Source organism: Homo sapiens, chromosome 22, assembly GCF_000001405.40.
Source record: "Homo sapiens chromosome 22, GRCh38.p14 Primary Assembly".
NCBI classification, from domain to species: domain Eukaryota; kingdom Metazoa; phylum Chordata; class Mammalia; order Primates; family Hominidae; genus Homo; species Homo sapiens.
The window spans coordinates 45,987,862-46,005,926 of record NC_000022.11 but is presented as its reverse complement, the minus strand read 5'-3'; the positions used below and the strand labels follow the sequence as shown (position 1 = coordinate 46,005,926).

Sequence of the window (18,065 nt, the reverse complement as noted above, 5' to 3'; positions counted from 1 at the left end):
CCCAGCTACTCAGGAGGCTGAGGCAGGAGAATTGCTTGAGCCCAGGAGATGGAGGTTGCAGTGAGCTGAGATCATGCCACTGCACTCCAGCCTGGCCGACAGAGCTGGACTGTCTCAAAAAAAAAAAAAAAAAAAGAAAGAAAGAAAGACGGGACCTGGCTTCCTAACTGAGGGAAACTGAAGAGAAGGGCCCAGTTCACGGGAATAAGGTGCCAGTTTGGGATGCCCCTACAGGGCCCTAGGTGCAGGGGACAGGGCTGAGGGAGCGGGGGAGGCGCCAAGATGTCAAGGCCGGCAGCCGTTCTCCTGGGGCAGAGGGCCAGTGCCCATGCCCGCACCTTGGGTCCCCAGGGCAGCCAGGTGGAGCCATACCACCTCCTCGGGCTTCACCTGCAAGCCCAGGCCCTGTGCTCACTGAGCCCCCACGCCCGCCAGGCCACTTCCAGAGGCTGTGCACACCCTCTGCCCAGATCCAGGAGAGGGGCTTTCACACAAGGAGGGAGAGGCTCAGAACCCTGGCAACCTACCCAAGGCATGGCACATGGGGCTACACGGGTGGATTGGAAGCTGGGTTGGCCACCTGAACCCCTGGGGTCCTGGCATTTCCAATGTCACCATCAGAAGGGTGGATGGAGGCCGGGCGTGGTGGCTCATGCCTGTAATCCCAGCATTTTGGGAGGCCGAGGCAGGCGGATCACCTGAGGTCAGGAGTTCGAGGCCAGCCTGGCCAACATGGTGAAACCCCGTCTCTCCTAAAAACACAAAAATTAGCCAAGCATGGTGGCAGGTGCCTGTAGTCTCAGCTACTTGGGAGAATGAGGCAGAAGAATCGCTTGAACTCGGGAGGCGGAGGTTGCAGTGAGCTGAGATCACACCACTGCACTCCAACCTGTGCGACAGGGCAAGACTCTGTCTCAAAAAAAAAAAAAAAAAGAAAAAAGTAAAAGAAAAAAGAATGGAGGACGGAAGGGCCACACCATGCAGGTGCTGGGGTCCTGGCGTTTCATTTTCAATGTCACCATCAGAATGGAGGATGGGAGGCCGCCCCGCGAATGGAGGGCGGGAGAGCCATGCCATGCAGGTGCTGCCTGCTTGGGTTCCTGTGCTGGGACTGCCTCTCTCATCTATCACCTTGCACCTCCATCGCTGTGACACCCTTCACCCGCCGGGCCCCCACAAAACATGCTTGGGCTCTGCAGCCAGACTCCATCCTCCCCCACCAACCGTCCGACTCCTAGAGCCCTCTCCTGGACCCCCAGCACAGCGCGTGCGTGACGGAACCCTGCAGAGCCACTTCCTGTTAGAATCAGAAGGGCTGTCAGCCACTAAACCCAAGTGCCAACTTTTGGTGACGGAGAAATAGATCCAGATAGAGGGAGGACTTGATCAGGCCCAGGGTGGCCAGAGACCCTTTGGACTGCGACCAGAATCCCAGGGGCCTGTCACCGGCCCAGCGTCTGAGGTCCTGAATCCCTGGAAATCAATAAAGGCAGGCAGGTGGGAGGCTGGAGGCCTCGCAGCCCACCCAACCCACATCCACCACACTCTCACACCAAGCCCTCAGCGTGCTCGGAGCATGGCGGTGGGCTTTACCCCTCCAGCCCCTCTACCTGGGATGCCACACAACTCTTCAGGGCCAGGGGAGTCCCCTCCTAGGGCCACCGTCCCCAAGGCACCCAGGGATGAGTCACTCTCTCTCACCCCAGGCCACCCAGGAGAGTTGACATCAGTCACATGTCTGCCCCTCAGACTGGGAGAACCCTGGAGCAGGGACCCCATCCCCTGCCTCTGTGAATCCCTAGCATTGGCCCATGGTGTGAACACCAGCAGCCACAGCACTGAGACCTAGCCAGGGCTTCCCAGTTTCCTGGGCACCAGCTGTTCTTCGCAGCCTCTTCCATGCTTGCTGGGAAGCAAGGTCTATCATGACCCTAGGCGCAGAAGGACAAGAAACAGAGAGGTTGAGTAAGATGCCCGACGACACACAGCTGGAGTCAGCAGAGGCTGGAAGGGTGCTGGGCGGCCTGGCTCCCAGCACGAGGCATCCTACCTGAGGACAGTAGACGGGCAGCTAAAGGACCCTCAGCTGACCACACAGGCCGGGCCTGGGCATGTCTGCGGCATGACCCCCTTGGGCCTTGTCACCTCCTCTCATCCCCTAGATCGCAGGACAGCAAGGTGGTCACACCCAGATTGCCTGAGTGTGCATTCTTTCCTTCCACGTCGGAGCACTTGGTCGGAATCCTGCCCACACAGGATGCACCTCACGAGGTGTTCACTCACCAGTCTCCCAGAGCAGAGGGGTCTGGGGAGAGGGGACACAAGATGGCATTGGGAGTGACAGCAAGACTGACTGTCTTGCGGGGCCCTCAGGCGCTGGCCTCCAAGGCCAGGTCCCCCAGGAAAAGCCTAGACAGAGGGGAGCAGGAAACCCGGTCCCAGCCCAGGGCGCCCACTCCCTGCCGGCCAGGCCAAGCCTCCCGCGTCCGGCCTCCTGGGTGCTGCTCACTCATCCATCAGACCAGTGTGATGGGGTCATTCGCTCCCATTCCCAGGCGGGGGAGGCTCCAGGAGATGTGGGTGGATGTGGGTTTACCCTGTGGATGGCCTGAGGCCTGAGGACTAGGAAGGTCCATCTATCTGTCCCTTGGCAGATGGCCACAGTGCCCAGGGCGACAACAGGGTGAGCTCTGCTCACATGGGTCCTGATGCAGATAGGGGGTGTCTGGGCCCCTGTCACCCCTGTGGAGTCTTCCTCGCCTTCCTCTGGGCGGGTCTTCTCAGGTCCAGCTCAAGGGCATCTGGGAGGGGAGGTGGCCTGAAAGCTCGGAGGCCCTGCAAAGCTGGCTGCAGTTAGGAAAGCCACTAAGTCATTATTTTGGGGTTAAATCAGAACTAATCTACCCAAGCCAATGGCTGGGTCCCCTGAAGGGAGGACACTCATGACTCAGCTGCTTGAGCCTGGGGAAGTGGTGTCCCTGAGATCCAGGAATGTGAGGGAGGATGACACCATCCACCAGGCCTGGCCCAGCGGGAGCAGCTAGTGTGGCTGCCTCTCGCTGTGCCCACCCCACCCTCAGCATCTGGCTTTGTCCACCTCTGGCCAAGGCCCACTCTGTTTGGGCTGCACTGTTGCCCGGAAGCCCTCCATGCCCCAGCGAGAGTCTCCCTCCCTGGCCTCTGTCCCTCCATTTCTCCATCAGTGGCCACCAGGGCAGTTTTCTTTTTCTTTTCTTTTTTTTTTTTTTGAGACGGAGTCTCACTCGCCCAGGCCGAAGTGCGGTGGCACGATCTCGGCTCACTGCAACCTCCGCCTGCCGGGTTCAAGCAATTCTCCTGCCTCAGCCTCCTGAGTAGCTGAGACTACAAGCACGCGCCACCATGCCCGGCTAATTATTTGTACTTTTAGTAGAGATGGGGTTTCACCATGCTGGTCAGGCTGGTCTCGAACTCCTGACCTCGTGATCTGCCTGCTTCAGCCTCCCAAAGTGCTGGGATTACAGGCGTGAGCCACCGCAACCAGCCCACCAGGGCAGTTTTCTTAAAAGGGGACCCTGCCTGGTTATGGTAATGGCTCTCCTGCTGGCCCTGGGGGCGGTTCAAGCCTTCAGGGCAACTCTCAAGGCTTCCAAAGCACACCCCCACCCCTCGTTCCTCCCCCCACTGCTCCTTCCCCTTTGACGCCCCCTGCTCTGCTAGGCTGGGGATGTAGGGTCTGAATGTGCCATCTGGACCCACCAACCCCTCACCCAGGCTGTGCACCGGAGAGACCTCACTGTGGGACACAGGAGCCAGGGTGGGCAAGGGGGTAGGGGGCTGCTGCCGTCACCACTGAGGAGTACAGCCCCACCCTTGGCCTTGAGCAGCCCCCAGTCCTGCGTGTGGGGCCGCCAGGCTGCAGGGGGCCTGGACCCATGGCGGTGGCTGTTGATTCAGCTGTCTGGTTGGCGCCAGCTCCCCTGCTGGGGCCGAGTCTTTCTGGAGTTAGACCCTGCAGCCCTGTCCCCACTGAGCCAGCACGAGGGCAGTGACCGTCTCAAAGCAGCTCTTCTCCATGGAAGTCTTAAGGGGCCCCTTGGCCGGAGTCCCACGAGTGACAGCTGGCAGCCCTCTTGGCTCCCTGGGGGAAGCAGATAGTGTGGCCCCTTAATTTGGGCCACTTGAGGAGCGTTTAAAAACAGGACAAAGGCGTGGGCCCAGCTCAGGAAAAGCTAGGAGGGAAGGAGCCGTTCTCTGGGGCTGGTGGCCAAACGGGGAGGTAGCTGCAGCCACTGGTGGCAGGGACCCTTAGGCCTCCTGCCAGTGCCTCGCGCCGGCAGAGGCCACGGACAGGTCCCAGCACAGGGAGCTGGCAAACGTGCCCACAGGGTCGGCCTCTGGGCCAGCTGGAGCAGGTGCAGTGAGGGGCTGGGAAGGCATAGAGAAAAGCGGCAGCGGGGCTCTGAAGATGCAAGCCTGGTGGCTGGAGCATGTTCCAGTGAGGGACAGGCAAAGCTGCCAGGGCAAAGGGCGGATTTCCTGATACAGGAGTGGAGGATGCTGTGGAAGGGCTGGATCTCCCATCCAAGGCGTCTCCTAGAGCCACACCATGCCCCATCCAGGGTGGTGCTAATGCTTCTCCCCTGGGTCAACTGGGCCTGTGACCACCCCGTGAGTGGGTGGTGGAGGTGCCATGTGAGCACTGGGCTGGGCTGGGAAAGCCCCTGCATCTGCCTGGCTCTCCAGGGGTGCTGGCTGGTGGAGCTCAGATGATACCAAGTGAGGAAACCTTGATTCTGGCCCAGCCCTGGAGCTCCCTCTAGCTGAGGCCCCCACTGGGGGGAACAGAAACCAGGCACTCCCACTATGACCCATGGAGCATAAGAAAGTGGCTGTTGTCAGTGTCTATGTTTTGGGGTAACTGGAGAAGCCCCAAGGCTTCCCTGGTCTCCCCTGAACACTCTTGCACCTTCTGGCCCACGTGGCTCGGGGCTCTAGAGGCCACAGCAGGTCAAACGAATGCCACCATCTGTGCTCACTCCAGGGGACCCCCGTGTCCTTGGCCTGGATCCACCTGCATCCAGGCTTGGCCTGTATGGAGCCATCATCTGCCCAGGGTGGAAGGGGCAGGAGACATCGAGGGGTAGGGTGGGGTGGAGGAACTTTCTCTTACAGCCACGTGAGAGGCCTGGTCTGCCCAGCGGGGTCCTGAGCTGTTGGTTCTCCAGGCACCTTCAGAGCCACTGGGTTGGGGGTTGGCCAGACTGAAAAGACTGGATGCTCAGGGCTGTGCTCCCTCCGCACCTGCCCTACCTGCAGGGAGGCAGGAGCCCAGCTGGCCAGTGGTTGGGTGAGGACAGAGGTGAGGGTGCTAGGAGCAGCCACTAGACACAAAACCAAGTCCCTCAGCACAGGCCCCTCATCTGGGAGGCACCTGGATGGGAGGACAGGTCCGGCCAAAGAGGTGCACACATGTGGGGCTGAGGAATGGGGTCCCTGCACAAAGCCGGCGTCTGCATCATGGGCAGACAGACCACCATGTCCTCATGAAGTGCTGGCTTCTTTCCTTCCACCTCCTCATTTATAGGGTTGGAAGAGTGACAGCTGAGACCCCAACCTCAAGTGCCCAGGCTGTTGTGAGGACGAAGCAGGGGGCTGTCACAGGTACGGGCTGAGGGCCTGGCAGGTAGGGGCTGTTTCACCTGGAAGCCCCAGAGCCCGGGAGAGTGCAATGCTCCGAACATGTACAGGATGGGAAGGAATTCCACACGCTCTTTTCCTGTGCCATCCCCAGTCCGCCATGGAAGGGAAGCATCAGGAGTAGGATGTGGTGCCTTTTAATTGTACCCATAGAATAGTAATTTGTGTAAACTGCCCCTTTCCCTTTTTGCCTCTGCCACTGGGAAGCTTGGAGCCAAAGCCGTGGGCCTATCTCTGCCTCCACTTAGACCTACCTTCTCTCCCCGTTCCCTTGGTCTTTCACCTCTACTTTTAAATACATGTTCTGATGTTCTGCGGCATCTTTGCTGCACCCCCAAATCCCTTCTGGACAAGGCGACCCCTGGCTCCTTCCTTTGAGCTCCTTGGTTTCTACAACCCTTAAGATGCCCCCACCCCACAGTGGCGAATTTCACTCTCTGGGAAGCGCGGCAGCAGGTGCCTGGGACGCGCCCACCGGAGCCTGGGCTTTGAATCCCTGTCCCCTACTCCACGCAGTGTCAATGTCGCCTGGCCGCCTGCACGTCTGTTTCCTTTGTGCTCAATGCATTTTCTAAGGCAGGTGCCAGGTGGTAGCTGTCAGTGTCATTTCTATTTCTGCTGTTGATTTGCTTGTCTGCTTCTCCAACTGCCTGGCCCCCAGGCTCCTGAGCTCAGCAGGCAGGGAGTGCATACAGAACATCCCCCCACCTCTGAGCTGTCCCCTGTCATTGGACAATGCCCCTAGATGGCACCTCAGGCCTCTGCGGGAGTCTGGGGGCTGTGGGAGTCTGGGGGCTGGTGGAGGCTGTCAGGAGAGGCTGCCCGGAGGAGGTGGTGAGACCTGAGGGCTGAGTAGGGTTAGCCAGGGCAAGGAAGGCAGGGGAGAGCAGATGGAAAGGTGGCTGTGAGGAGCAGTTTGGCCAGGTGTGTGGACAGCCCCTCTGAAGCCAAAGAGTCTAGAAGGTCCTTTGAACCTGGCCCTGTGAGCCTGTGCCGATCGGGCAGAGGGGCCCACATGACAAAGGCACGAGGCATGGCTCCCATGTGCCTGAGGAGGGGGAACAGGGGAGAAATAAGACCCAGAGGCTCAAGTGTGCTGTGCTGAAGAGCAAGGCCTTCAGGGAGGCGACAGGGAGCCACAGAAGGTTATGGGGGGGAGGGTGCACAGCAGGCTCTCTGATGCTTACATTGAACACACAGTTCCAATTTGATTATTTACTTGAACCCAATGACTCCTCTGGCAGTGGGCTTGGCTGTCCTTGCCTGGTGAAGGGATGTGACTTTCTCCCCAAGGTTGCACCTCCTCCAGCCCCAGGCAGCTGCACGGTCAAGGGCAGTACCCAGCAAGGGACGATGGAGATGCCGGCCAGCGTCTGAGGTTAAAGTATACTTTGAAAAGCGTGGCTAACGTTTGAAGGAAAACAGCAAAAGAAGAGTCTAGAAACCAGATCCCTGGCCAACAGGAGTCTACGTTCCAAACAATGTCCCTGAGGAGACAAAGAGCCAGGGCCCCTGGGGGGGCACTGCTGCCAGCCCTGGGGAAGGGACCAGGCTAAGAGGGCTCTCAGATCCTCAGGACAGGAGAGGGTGGGCTCTGCGGGCCGGGCAGGGCTGGCCTGTGCCCACTGCCTGGGGGAACTCAGCCAGCGGGAGCTGTGCACAGGTGCACAGCTGGGCCCTGGTGAGGGGTGGGGATGAGGAGCGGCAGGTCCAGGAGTGGCCGCAGGAGCAGTGACCCAGGCGTTGGGTGATCCAGAGGGACTTGGCCCATTAAGGGGACTTGGCAGCCGTGCCAGCCTGGAACAAGAGCCCGCAGAGGACACCTGCCTGGACAGATGGCGTCCAAGGCGGGCACTCCAACAGGGATGCTGTGAATGTCAGGTGCCACCGGGCACTGAACTGACTCAGTTTTCACACCTGAACAGGATCATACACATTCAGCTGTGGACAATTGAATCCATTTCCCGCCTCTGAGGCTTCACCATCTTTCCTCAAAGGATGAGGGAAGTGTCCGGTGACCCTGGCTTCGAGAGTTGGGGTTGGGGAGGGGTAGGAGGCACAGGGTGGTGGGTTGGGACTGTAGAGTCAGGCTCAGGGCTCAGCTCAGGGCAGGTGCCGTTGGGACCAGGGAACCATTACAGGTTCCCAGGTTTGACCTCTGCATCCCCCCAGTCCCTGCCCCTGAGGTCTGGGGTCCAGATTCCCACAGGGCCAGTAGCTGAACTCTTTTTCTTTGGGGAGGAGGAGGCAACCAGGCCTGGAGTCACTTCCCTTGTAAACTAGGCTTTGGCTTTTCTCTCTTCCCCTCCCTCTGGGCGGAGAGGTGGCCGACATCTAGTCAGGGCAACTGTGGGTCAGTCACCCACAAGCTGGAAAACCAGATGGTCCTGAGAGTCTACAGGGGACTGGGCTGAGTTGGGTGGGTGGAAGGACAGGGAGGGTTCTGGCCAGCGTTGGGGGGGCCCGTGCTGGAGGCAGGGCGGGTCTCCATGCCCAGCCTCTGTCCCCCAGGTTCCAGTGGTGGAGGGGGTGGGGCAAGTGGAGACAGCGGAGGGCGGGGGTTAGGGGGGCCCTGGCTTCCTCCAGCAGGCTCCGCCTGCCCCAGCAGCTGCTGCTTCCGCCGCTGGCCTGGCAGACAATGCGCTGGCGGGGAACAGTGGCCCGGGGCCAGGGCTGTCCATCCCCCCCAGCTACACAGGAAGACAGAACTCAGAAGACCAGTGTGTCCTGAAGTGAACTCGCTGCCCAGGCGCTGTGATTTAGGGCTGTAGATTCCCAGAGGAGATGCCTCCAGTTTGAGTCAAACTGGTTTCTTTCAGGCTTAAAATGGCAGGGCCCTGGGACCCCGTTGGGGAGGGGGTCGAGTTGGGAGGGATGGCCCTGGGAAAATCTCTACCTCATCTCTCCCTTCTCCTGCAGCCCTTGCCCTCGGGCTGTGTGGGTGGCACCTCAGCCCTCCTGCCACAGGGCCTTTGCACGGCTGGGCCCCTGCCTGCAGTGCCCTCTCTTGAGGTCCCTCAAGCCTGCTGCATCTGGGTCTCAGTCCAGAGGCCTCCCGTGGCCTGCCTGCCTCTCCATCCTTGCCTTAGAGCCCTTCCTGTCCCCTCTCCCCAGACATGGGCCCTGACCTGTGCTATGATTTCCTGTCTGGGTCCTGAGGTCCCCTCAGTCATTCTTGTTCCTCCTCTCCTGCCTACTCCCCCTCCTGGCACTCTCCCCTGAACCCTCAGGGCTCAGCTCCTGTGGTCCCTGGGCACCCTTTCTCCCAGGCCCTGCCTACCCACGTGGCGTGGGCCCCTCCATCGCCTGCACACCCCTCCATCGCCTGCACGCCCCTCCATCACCCATCGCAACGTGCCTGTGTGCTTGCCCGTCTCCCTGGCCCTGGAAATACTCCGGACGGGCGGGGCCGCTGCAGGAGCCCACCCCGATGCCAGACCTGGGCCAAGAGAAGAGGCAGGCTCTGCAGAGAGGTCCTGGGCAGGCAGCATGGACCTGGGCTTCCCCTTCCTCAGCATAGACCACAGCCGGCCACCAGGCCGTGGAGCAGGAGGGCGGCCCCACTGAGCTCCACAAAGCGGAACCGGCCCTCTGAGTCAGCGCAGGGAGCAGAGACCAGAGTCAAGCAGCCCTCCCTGGATGGGGGCGGCCTGGAGCTCTCCTCCCTGGACTGGGATGGCCTGGAGGTCCCCTCCCTGGACCGGAGCACCCTGGAGGTCCCCTCCTTGGACCGGGGCACCCTGGAGGTCCCTTCCCTGGACCGGGGCACCCTGGAGGTCCTGGTGCCTGCCCTGGCCCCACTGCCATAGGCCAGGACTCAGCTCTGTCCCAGGCCTCAGGCCCAGCCCTGCCTGCTGCTGACCTCCTTTTGACCCAAGTGTCACCCCCGGGGCGTTACGTGGAACTTACCCTGGGCCCGCAGGTGGTTCCCAGGGCCCAGCTATCCCCTCCTCGCCTCTCAGACTCAGCCAAGTGGCATCGCCTCAGGGAAGCCCTCCCTGATCTGCCTTCGGCGCTCCCTGTTGCATCAGGTGCCTTCCAGCTTGGAGGAGGGTGGTCTGTCTGTCTGTCTGTCTGGCCGACCGGTCTGTCTCTCCCGCTAGACTCTGAGCTTGATTTAGCAATTCATGGACTGAGGGGGACTGCTACACTTTGGTGCTGATTTTGGTAACTTCAGAGCCTCTCAGCCCAGGCCTGGCACATAAGGCCCGCAGGGAGCTGCTTGTTGGTTGACACTCATGGAATGAGTGAACTCTGGAGCCTTCCTTGAGGCATCGAGCTCGCCCCTGCCTGCTGGCCCACCGCTCCCTCGCCCTGGCCACTCATGGTGCGGGGCTGTGGCTTCCGGAGCCCTCTCCCTCCTGAGCGTGAGCTCCCGGGGGGGAAGAGAACAGGGTGGGAATCAGCCGTGAGAAGGAACGGAGCACAGTGCGGCACCGACTCACTGTCACTGATGCTGTGACAGCAACCACAGTGAAGAATCACACAGCCGGAGAGAGCAGGGGAGGGCGTGGAGAGATTGGAGCCTGTGCACACGCTTGCTGGTGGGAAGGTGAAATGGTGCAGCCACTGTGGACACCGAAGAGAGAGCCAGAGCCACCATGGCATGGACAGGAACAGGTCCCCTCCTGCGTGTAAGTCGGGAGAAGCGGCCACAGGGACACACCAGACACTTGCACCCTGAGGTTCCTCACCGCTCACAGAAGCTGAGGAGAAACAGTCCCGGCGTGCACCCAGGGGGATGGAGGAACAGAACAGGGCCTGTCCACACCTCCTCTCTCGCCACCTCGGGGCTGGGCCTGGCTGCTGCGGTGTGCTGTGTGTCCTGGGCGGCCAAGGGGGTGCTTCTGGGACCTGCAGACCCCTCAGCCCCCTGGGGACTGCAGATTCAAAAACTCACCCTACTTCTCATGGGGACAGCAAAGGCCCCAGACACCATGTCCCCACCTGGCCTCAGTCTCCCCACATGGGATAGAGGTGCAGCCAAGTGTCCCCCGGTCCTACCGGGCCCTCCTTGAAGCCCCCCAGGCAGGCAGTACTACGGAGGGGCGAGGGACTTGCCAGAGTCATACGGCCTAGTGGCTTGGAAGCTGGGTCTTTGGGAATCCAGATCCCGCACTCTCCTGCCCTGTGTCTCCCACGGGCGGGACAGACTCCCCTTGTCCCAGGAGTCTCGGCTCCCATGCCAAGGCCTGGCACAAACCAGGTCCTTTCCCTGCCCTTGAGCGCCCTCTGGTGGGCATGCTGGGCATTGTCAGGGATGAGGCGGAGGAACCAGAGCCGACCCCAAGGTTAAGGACAGGGTGAAGGGCCAGAGGCCAGGGACTGGCTGGGGATGAAGAGCTACGTGAATCCTGGGGGCCTGGGGGAAAGACCTCCAGTTTCTCAGGAGGCGCTGGTGTCACTGCCCCATCGTGCAGTGGATCCTGGGACCGGGAGGCCCCGCGTTCAGGCTCGATCTTCGGGGTCTGGTCAGGAGGTGGAAATGGGGTCGGCGGGGTCCCAGGAAGGAGCTTTTGTGCCCCGAGGCCCTGGATATCACCAGCCTCACCTCAGAGCTGCCCCTGCGTCCTCCTCTCACAGGGAGCCAGGCCATCCTTTGCAAGGGACATGTGGACTCCAGCCCGGCACAGGCCCCTTGCTGGCTTGCAGGCTCAGGCAGCTGTGAGAGCACGGGCTGGCCTCCCCCACTTTTACTGCCCAGCTGTTGATCTGCAACTCTGGTCCCGACTCTACCCACTAAGGAGAGAATGACCCCTCCCCTCCCCCAACAGAAAAGAGGTCCTGGGACCCCAGGACTGAGAAGAGTGCCCTGAGGTCACCTAGCACCCCACCCCATCACCCCATCACTTCCATGGAAAATTGATGGCCAAGAGGGCAGCTGGTGTCCAGAGACTGTAACATGATGAGGGCATGTCCAGGTTCCAAACTGGACCCAGTGGGTGGAGAAGAGATCTTCTTCCTCTTTTTAATTCTCTAAAACAGCACTACTACCAACAAAAACACCACCACTACCACTTCCTCCACCGTCAAACCCCCTACCTCCATCATCACCACCATCACCATCACTATCACCTCCAGCACCATCACCATCATTATTATCACTTCCACCATCACCACCACCACCATCACCACCATCACCATAACCATAACCTCCATCACCATCACCATCATTATTATCACCTCCACCACCACCACTACCACTTCCTCCACCGTCAACCCCCCACCTCCATCACCACCTCCATCACTATCATAACCACCACTTCCACCACCACCACCACCATCACCATCACCTCCAGCACCATCACCATCATTGTCATCACCTCCCCCATCATCTCCACCACCACCCCATAACCATAACCTCCATCACCTCCACCATCATTACTATCACCTCCACCACCACCACCATCACCACAATCATCGCCATCACCTCCACCATCATTACTATCACCTCCACCATCACCACCATTACCACCACCATCATCATCATCATCACCATCACCATCACCACCATCACCACCATCATTGCCATCACCCCCACCCCTACCACTACCACTTCTTCCACCATTAACCCCCTTACTTTCATCACCACCTCCATCACAATCATAACCACCATCTCCACCACCATCACCATTATCACCATCATTAAAATCACCTCCACCATCACCTCCACCACCACCACCATCATTCCATCACCTCCACCACCACCACCACCATCATCACCATCACCACCATCATTATCATCACCTCCACCATCACCACCATCATCACCATCATCACCATCACCGCCATCATTACCATCACCTCCACCATCACCACCAGCATCACCATCACCACCATCATTCCATCACCTCCACCACCACCATCATTCCATCACCACCATCATTACCATCACCTCCACCATCACCTCCACCACCACCACCATCGTCACCATCACCACCATCATTACCATCACCACCATCATTACCATCACCTCCACCATCACCTTCACTACCACCACCACCATCATCATCGCTAACAAGAACAACAACATTTGCCAAAGAAGCCCTCTCAATGGTCATCACTGGGTAGCCCATGGTAGCCGCGGCCATGTTTGTGTGTCTCCCACAAGTACCTCAGGCACCGCTCTGCACTCGAGGTGTTAGGGGAAGGTAGAGTGCAACAGCACTGGCCCAAGACCTTCCCAGAAGCTGCTCCTGAAGAGACAGAGACAGACACTGTGCAGTGGGTCCAGGCTGAGATGGGAAGGCAGAAGGTGTGTGGAGGCAAGGGAAGGGAGCATCTAAGGTTACCTTGAACAACCAGGAGGGCTCCCTGGAGGAGGTGCCAGCCACCTCAGTAGGCTGAAGAGGAGTTTCCTGGTGAGAAGTTTGGAGGAGGGTGATCTAGGCAATGTGCCCCAAAGAGAGCATGAGGGATCAATAGGGACAAAGGGTAGTGGAAACCAGGGCTGGAGCTCAGTGCAGGTCGGTTTGATGAGGGTGGGTGCAGGGGCTATGCTCCTGGGAGCCCCAGGGAAGTGCCTGCAGGGGCCCTATGGGGACAGGGCAGGCCCTATCACCCCATTTTAGAGCAAAAGACTGAAACTTCTGGGAGAAGGCCACTCACCCAATGCCGGTTTGAAGCCGATGGCTGTGTGGCCCCATGCGTGGCTCAGCAGGCTTTGCTCCTGCTCATCTCCGTGCCGTCCCTCAGCCAGGAAGACGGTTTCTTGGACTGTCTGCCTGGCTCACCCTTCAGGGCTCAGCAATGGCTGTCTTCCTCCAGGAAGCCTTCCCCGAACACCCCTGCCCGCTGCCTGTCTCCCTGGGGCTCTCATGGCACTGGGCTCTTGTTAGTTTCTGTGGCATTTTCCTTTGAAGGCTGATTTCTCCCCAAGGCCCTGGGACCCGGCCAGCATGGCCTGCCCATCGAACATAGTTGATGCCACCCCTCCGTCTCCTTCTGCCACCAGTCCTGGTGAATGAGCCCCTGGCCCAAATGGGCGAAGATTCTGCCTCGACAGGCTAGAAGCTTGCCCATGCTCTCCCCGCCGGGATATAACTGTGGGCCCCTCTGCCTGTCCCTCATCTGGCCTTTTCCATGCCTGCCTGGCCTGTGCCACAGGTCCTGGTGGGAGTGAAGGAAATCTTAGCGTCTCATAAAGTCTGCAGCTCTTTCTCTGGGCTTTTATTTTATCTTATTTTTTAGAGACAGAGTCTCACTCTGTCACCCATGCTGGAGTGCAGTGGCATGATCTCGGCTCATGGCGACCTCTGCCTCCCGGATTCAAGCCATTCTCCTGCCTCAGCCTCCCCACTAGCTGGGATTACAGGTGCGAGCCACCACGCCCAGCTAATTTTTGTATTTTTAGTAGAGATGGGGTTTCACCATGTTGGCCAGACTGGTCTCAAACTCCTGACCTCAGGTGAACCACATGCCTCAGCCTCCTAAAGTACTGGGAGTACTTTAGGAGGAGTGTGAGCCACTGCTCCTGGCCCTGGTGGAACTTTTAAAAGCCCAGAGAAAGACCGGGCGTGGTGGCTCACGCCTGTAATCCCAGCACTTTGGGAGGCCAAGGTGGGTGGATCACCTGAGGTTAGGAGTTTGAGACCAGCCTGGCTAACATGGTGAAACCCCGTCTCTACTAAAAATACAAAAATTAGCCAGGTGTGATGGCGTGCACCTGTAATCCCAGCTAGTGGAGAGGCTGAGGCATGAGAATTGGTTGAACCTGGGAGGCGGAGGTTGCCGTGAGCTGAGATCACGCCACTGCACTCCAGCCTACGCGACAGAGTGAGACTCAGTCTAAAGAAAAAAAAAGTTTCCACCACCAGAAACAGCCCTGCTGGATGGATCCTGTGCAGTAATATATCTGTTTTAATAACTCAGTGGTCCGCAGTGCCCTACGACTACAGCACCAGCTGTAGGCAACATAATTCAATTCAGGACCCAGCCAGCACTCTCTGAGCTTTCCGTTTGACTTGCACGTGTTTTAATCTCCTGGGATCCGGATCAGTTTCCTCCTGGCCTGGCTCAATGAGAAGACCACATTTCAGCCACTTTAACTGGTGAGGAAATTAGCTTGATGTGTATATTTGAGGCATGTTGATATGTGTCATGATTCCCACCCCTCAAAATCTTTGTATGTTGGCTCCAGTTCCTGAAAAGAGTGTTATAAAAGCCCCAGCCCCTCCTTTTGCCAGGGACTTGTATGTACCCATTTCCCACCAGGCAGGGAGGGCAAAGGCACCTCAAGCGCTGAGAGGTGGCCCAGGATGCTGCACTCAGGGTACAGCTAAGAGTGCATTAGAAGTGGGGAGTGTTCGGGAGCTGCAGCTCTTTGTGGTCTCAGGCAGCCAGGAAATAGGGTACATGGGCAGGACCCACTGTCTCAGAGGTTAGGCCCTGTCCCTGGCCTTGGCCTGGACTTTCTTACTGCCTGCTTCCATGGGGTGTCTCACCTATGCCCTCCACCTAGCGCCTCCCTAGGGACCCTGGCTGCCCACCTGAAGGGGGTGACGGCTGGGCTGCCTCCCTGACGTGCCATCTGCTCCCTCCTTTGGGCACAGCAACTCTGAAGAGCAATCAGCCCCAGCCCAGGTGGGATCACTGCAAATGTGGCCTTCAAACTCCAGTAATCCTGGCAATGCCCTGGTCTCCGCAGTTAGTGTGACTCGCTGGTTGAGCTGAACACTTAGCGTGTGCCAGGCCCTCACTTAGGGCTTCATGCGCCCACAGATCAAGGTGCTGGGTGTCCTTTCACAGATGGGGAAGCTGAGGCTCGGGGTCACAGAGCCTGGTGGTCCACTGTCCCCGTCTCCAGACTCTGCCCCCAACACCCACTTTCTGTTCACTGTGGACCCAGGATCAGCTGTGACAGCTCCCGAGGAGGCCCCCCAGCACCCTGCTGGGTAGATGGTGTTACCTCCTTAAACCTCCCGGTGATGTGGACATTCACACCTTTGGTTGAGGTGTCCTGGAGAGGAATGATTTGCCCGAATCCCACGGCGTGTACACGGAAGGCCCGGGTTCGAATTGGACTCAGTCTGAGCTGTTGCCCGAAGTCTTCCGCAGCTGTATAGCCTTACAGCTATGAAGGCATTTTCTGGGCCTGGGTTGGAGCCCACCCTCACGCCCTGGCCACTGCCTCCTGATGGCCTGTGTGCATTCTCAGGCTGAAATGGGGACCCCTGTGGAGAGGGGCTAAGGAGTCCAGGTCTGTGTGCCAACCTCCCTAGGCGGCCCCTGCAGGGAAGGAAGATTGTATGGTCCAGCCAGGGACCCCAGGCCGTGGGTCTGATGCCAGATCTGCCAGCTGTAGTCACCCAGTAGGAGATGGCGAAACAGCCCTGGGGAACCCCACTGTCAGCACCAGAGTTCCTGGCTCCTGGGGCTAGCATGCTGGGGCTCAAACCCCTGCTTGATGACTGTGTGACCCTGGCAGCCTCCCTGGGTCTCGGCCTTCCCACCCTTAAAGCAAGAGGTTCAGACCAGATCAGTGGTTCTTGGTCGTTCATGGGTCCTGTGTGGTGTGGGGGAAGCAGGCCAGTTTCCAGGCGTCGATGCCATCAGTGGTCAGCCCTGGGGCTGTGACTCTTGGTGCCCAAGACTAAAACAGACACCCCATGACTTTCAGGAGATCACCCTGACAGGTAGGATCGTGGCTGCAGGTTTGCTTAAAACGAAATTGTTTATTTGGGCTGTTCTGATTCCTGCAAGCAGGAGCTCAGATGTGCCTGTGGCTCAGCTTAAGCCTGGCCACCCGGTCCCTGTCCTGGGGGTGTCCACGAAACAGGATGAATAGAATCTGGGTCCTCCACACCAAAAAGTCCAACGCTCATATCTTAGACCAGTGGTTCTCAACTGGAGCCAATTCTGCTCCCCGGGAGACATTTGGCAATGTCTGGGGATACGTTTTGTTGTCATACCTCAGGGGATGCTGTGTGCTAAAAGCGTCTAGTGGGCAGAGGCCAGAGACGCTGCTGAACATCCTACCGGGCACAGACGGTCCCCACCACAGGGAACGATCCTGCCCTGAATGCCCATGGTGCAGCCACAAGAAGCCCCAGCGGAGACAGGCAGCTGAGTGCTCGGTGTCGGGCCCTTGCCTAGAAGGATGAGGTCCAAATGGTGGCCTGGCTTTCGGTGGCCTTTGTGGCCTAACCCAGCCTCAGCCCTGGGTGCTGGGCACTCTGGCATCATGTGCTAGGTTAGTCCCACTGGGTCGTGGCACTTTTAGAGGGTGGGCTTTATGCAGGGAACTCTGGAAGGCTCAGATTCAGCCTTGGGCATCCATCTTCTCCCCATGGGGGACTCAAGCAGGAAATCAAAGGACTCTTCATTCTGTGGTGGGAGGCACTGGAAAGGGCCTTCCCTCCTCCTCCCTCAAAGCTCAAACCTGGATCTTCCACCAGCAGTCATCAGTGCAGGGTGGAGGTCAAAGTGACCCTCATGGAAGGAGGAGGTAAAGGACTGCCCAGGGCACATTGCTTTTGCCCACCAGCAAACCCAGCTTAGCCAGGGTCCTGGAGCTGCCCCATCAGGGCGGTGCTGGTCGGTTGCCACAGGCGAGGAGTGATTGTATGTTGGGGTCAGGGAGGGCCAGGAGCATCCCTCTCCAGACTCAGGTCCTTGGCTCTCCTACCGAGGAAGGGGTTCATGGACAAGCGCAGACCAGGCCTCACCTGGACTCCAGATCCTCATCTGCAGAGATGGGGGCTCGCCCCTGCCTCAGCCTCACTCAGCACACCTGGCCCTCATCACCTCCTCTCTCGGCTGACTGCCAGGCTCAGGCAGCCTGGAGTTTTGGTCAAGGTGCAGCTGGATGTGCTGGGCAGCCTGACCTCAGCTCTCCTGGTCCTGGAGAGGACTTTTGTTAGAGACACAGAGCATTTGTTTTAACATAGAAGATGTGATGTGAGTTTGTCTATGAGGCAGTCCCGAGCCTCCCTGTCAAATGCCTCACCTCCTGGGTTCATGACCCTCACAGAGGTCAGAAGTCACAGGGAGCCTACACATTTCATTCCCAGTGAACCCATGCTAGCTCCTGGTGTTACAGGATCTTTTGGGTGTCGTCTTTTTAGCTGGAAACCTCTGTGACCAGTGGCGTCTTTGCCTGAGTTTTTGTCCTGCATCCAGGAAGAATGAGGTATGCAGACAAGTAGAGGGTAAGCAAGACAAAGAGGAGCTTTATTGAGTATTAGAACAGCTCAGAGGAGACCTGCAGTGGGTAGCTCCTCTTTCTAGGCAGGTTGTCCCATCGAGTGTTCAGCTCTCCGCAGAGAGGAAGCCCCAGAGAGGGTAGTGCCTCTCTGCAGGCAGGTTATTCTGACATCTCCTCAGGTCTCTGAAGCTCTCAGCAGAGAGGGTAGCTCCTCTCAGCAGCTGATCAACTTGTAATCTGC

The 18,065-nt window shown here is 58.8% G+C and overlaps 5 annotated features.

Annotated features, from left to right (window-relative positions):
- Positions 4,724-4,893: an enhancer, noted in NCBI's record as "active region_19230". NCBI's record gives its function as "activates an Ori minimal core promoter by ATAC-STARR-seq in GM12878 lymphoblastoid cells {active_cell/tissue: GM12878}" and the evidence as "EXISTENCE:reporter gene assay evidence [ECO:0000049][PMID:35858748]".
- Positions 8,197-8,866: an enhancer, noted in NCBI's record as "H3K4me1 hESC enhancer chr22:46392941-46393610 (GRCh37/hg19 assembly coordinates)". NCBI's record gives its function as "activates a minimal SCP1, AML or CMV promoter by ChIP-STARR-seq in primed H9 embryonic stem cells {active_cell/tissue: H9 hESC(primed)}" and the evidence as "EXISTENCE:reporter gene assay evidence [ECO:0000049][PMID:30033119]".
- Positions 9,326-9,475: a silencer, noted in NCBI's record as "silent region_13891". NCBI's record gives its function as "represses an Ori minimal core promoter by ATAC-STARR-seq in GM12878 lymphoblastoid cells {active_cell/tissue: GM12878}" and the evidence as "EXISTENCE:reporter gene assay evidence [ECO:0000049][PMID:35858748]".
- Positions 9,830-10,748: an enhancer, noted in NCBI's record as "H3K4me1 hESC enhancer chr22:46391059-46391977 (GRCh37/hg19 assembly coordinates)". NCBI's record gives its function as "activates a minimal SCP1, AML or CMV promoter by ChIP-STARR-seq in naive H9 embryonic stem cells {active_cell/tissue: H9 hESC(naive)}" and the evidence as "EXISTENCE:reporter gene assay evidence [ECO:0000049][PMID:30033119]".
- Positions 12,865-13,364: an enhancer, noted in NCBI's record as "H3K4me1 hESC enhancer chr22:46388443-46388942 (GRCh37/hg19 assembly coordinates)". NCBI's record gives its function as "activates a minimal SCP1, AML or CMV promoter by ChIP-STARR-seq in naive H9 embryonic stem cells {active_cell/tissue: H9 hESC(naive)}" and the evidence as "EXISTENCE:reporter gene assay evidence [ECO:0000049][PMID:30033119]".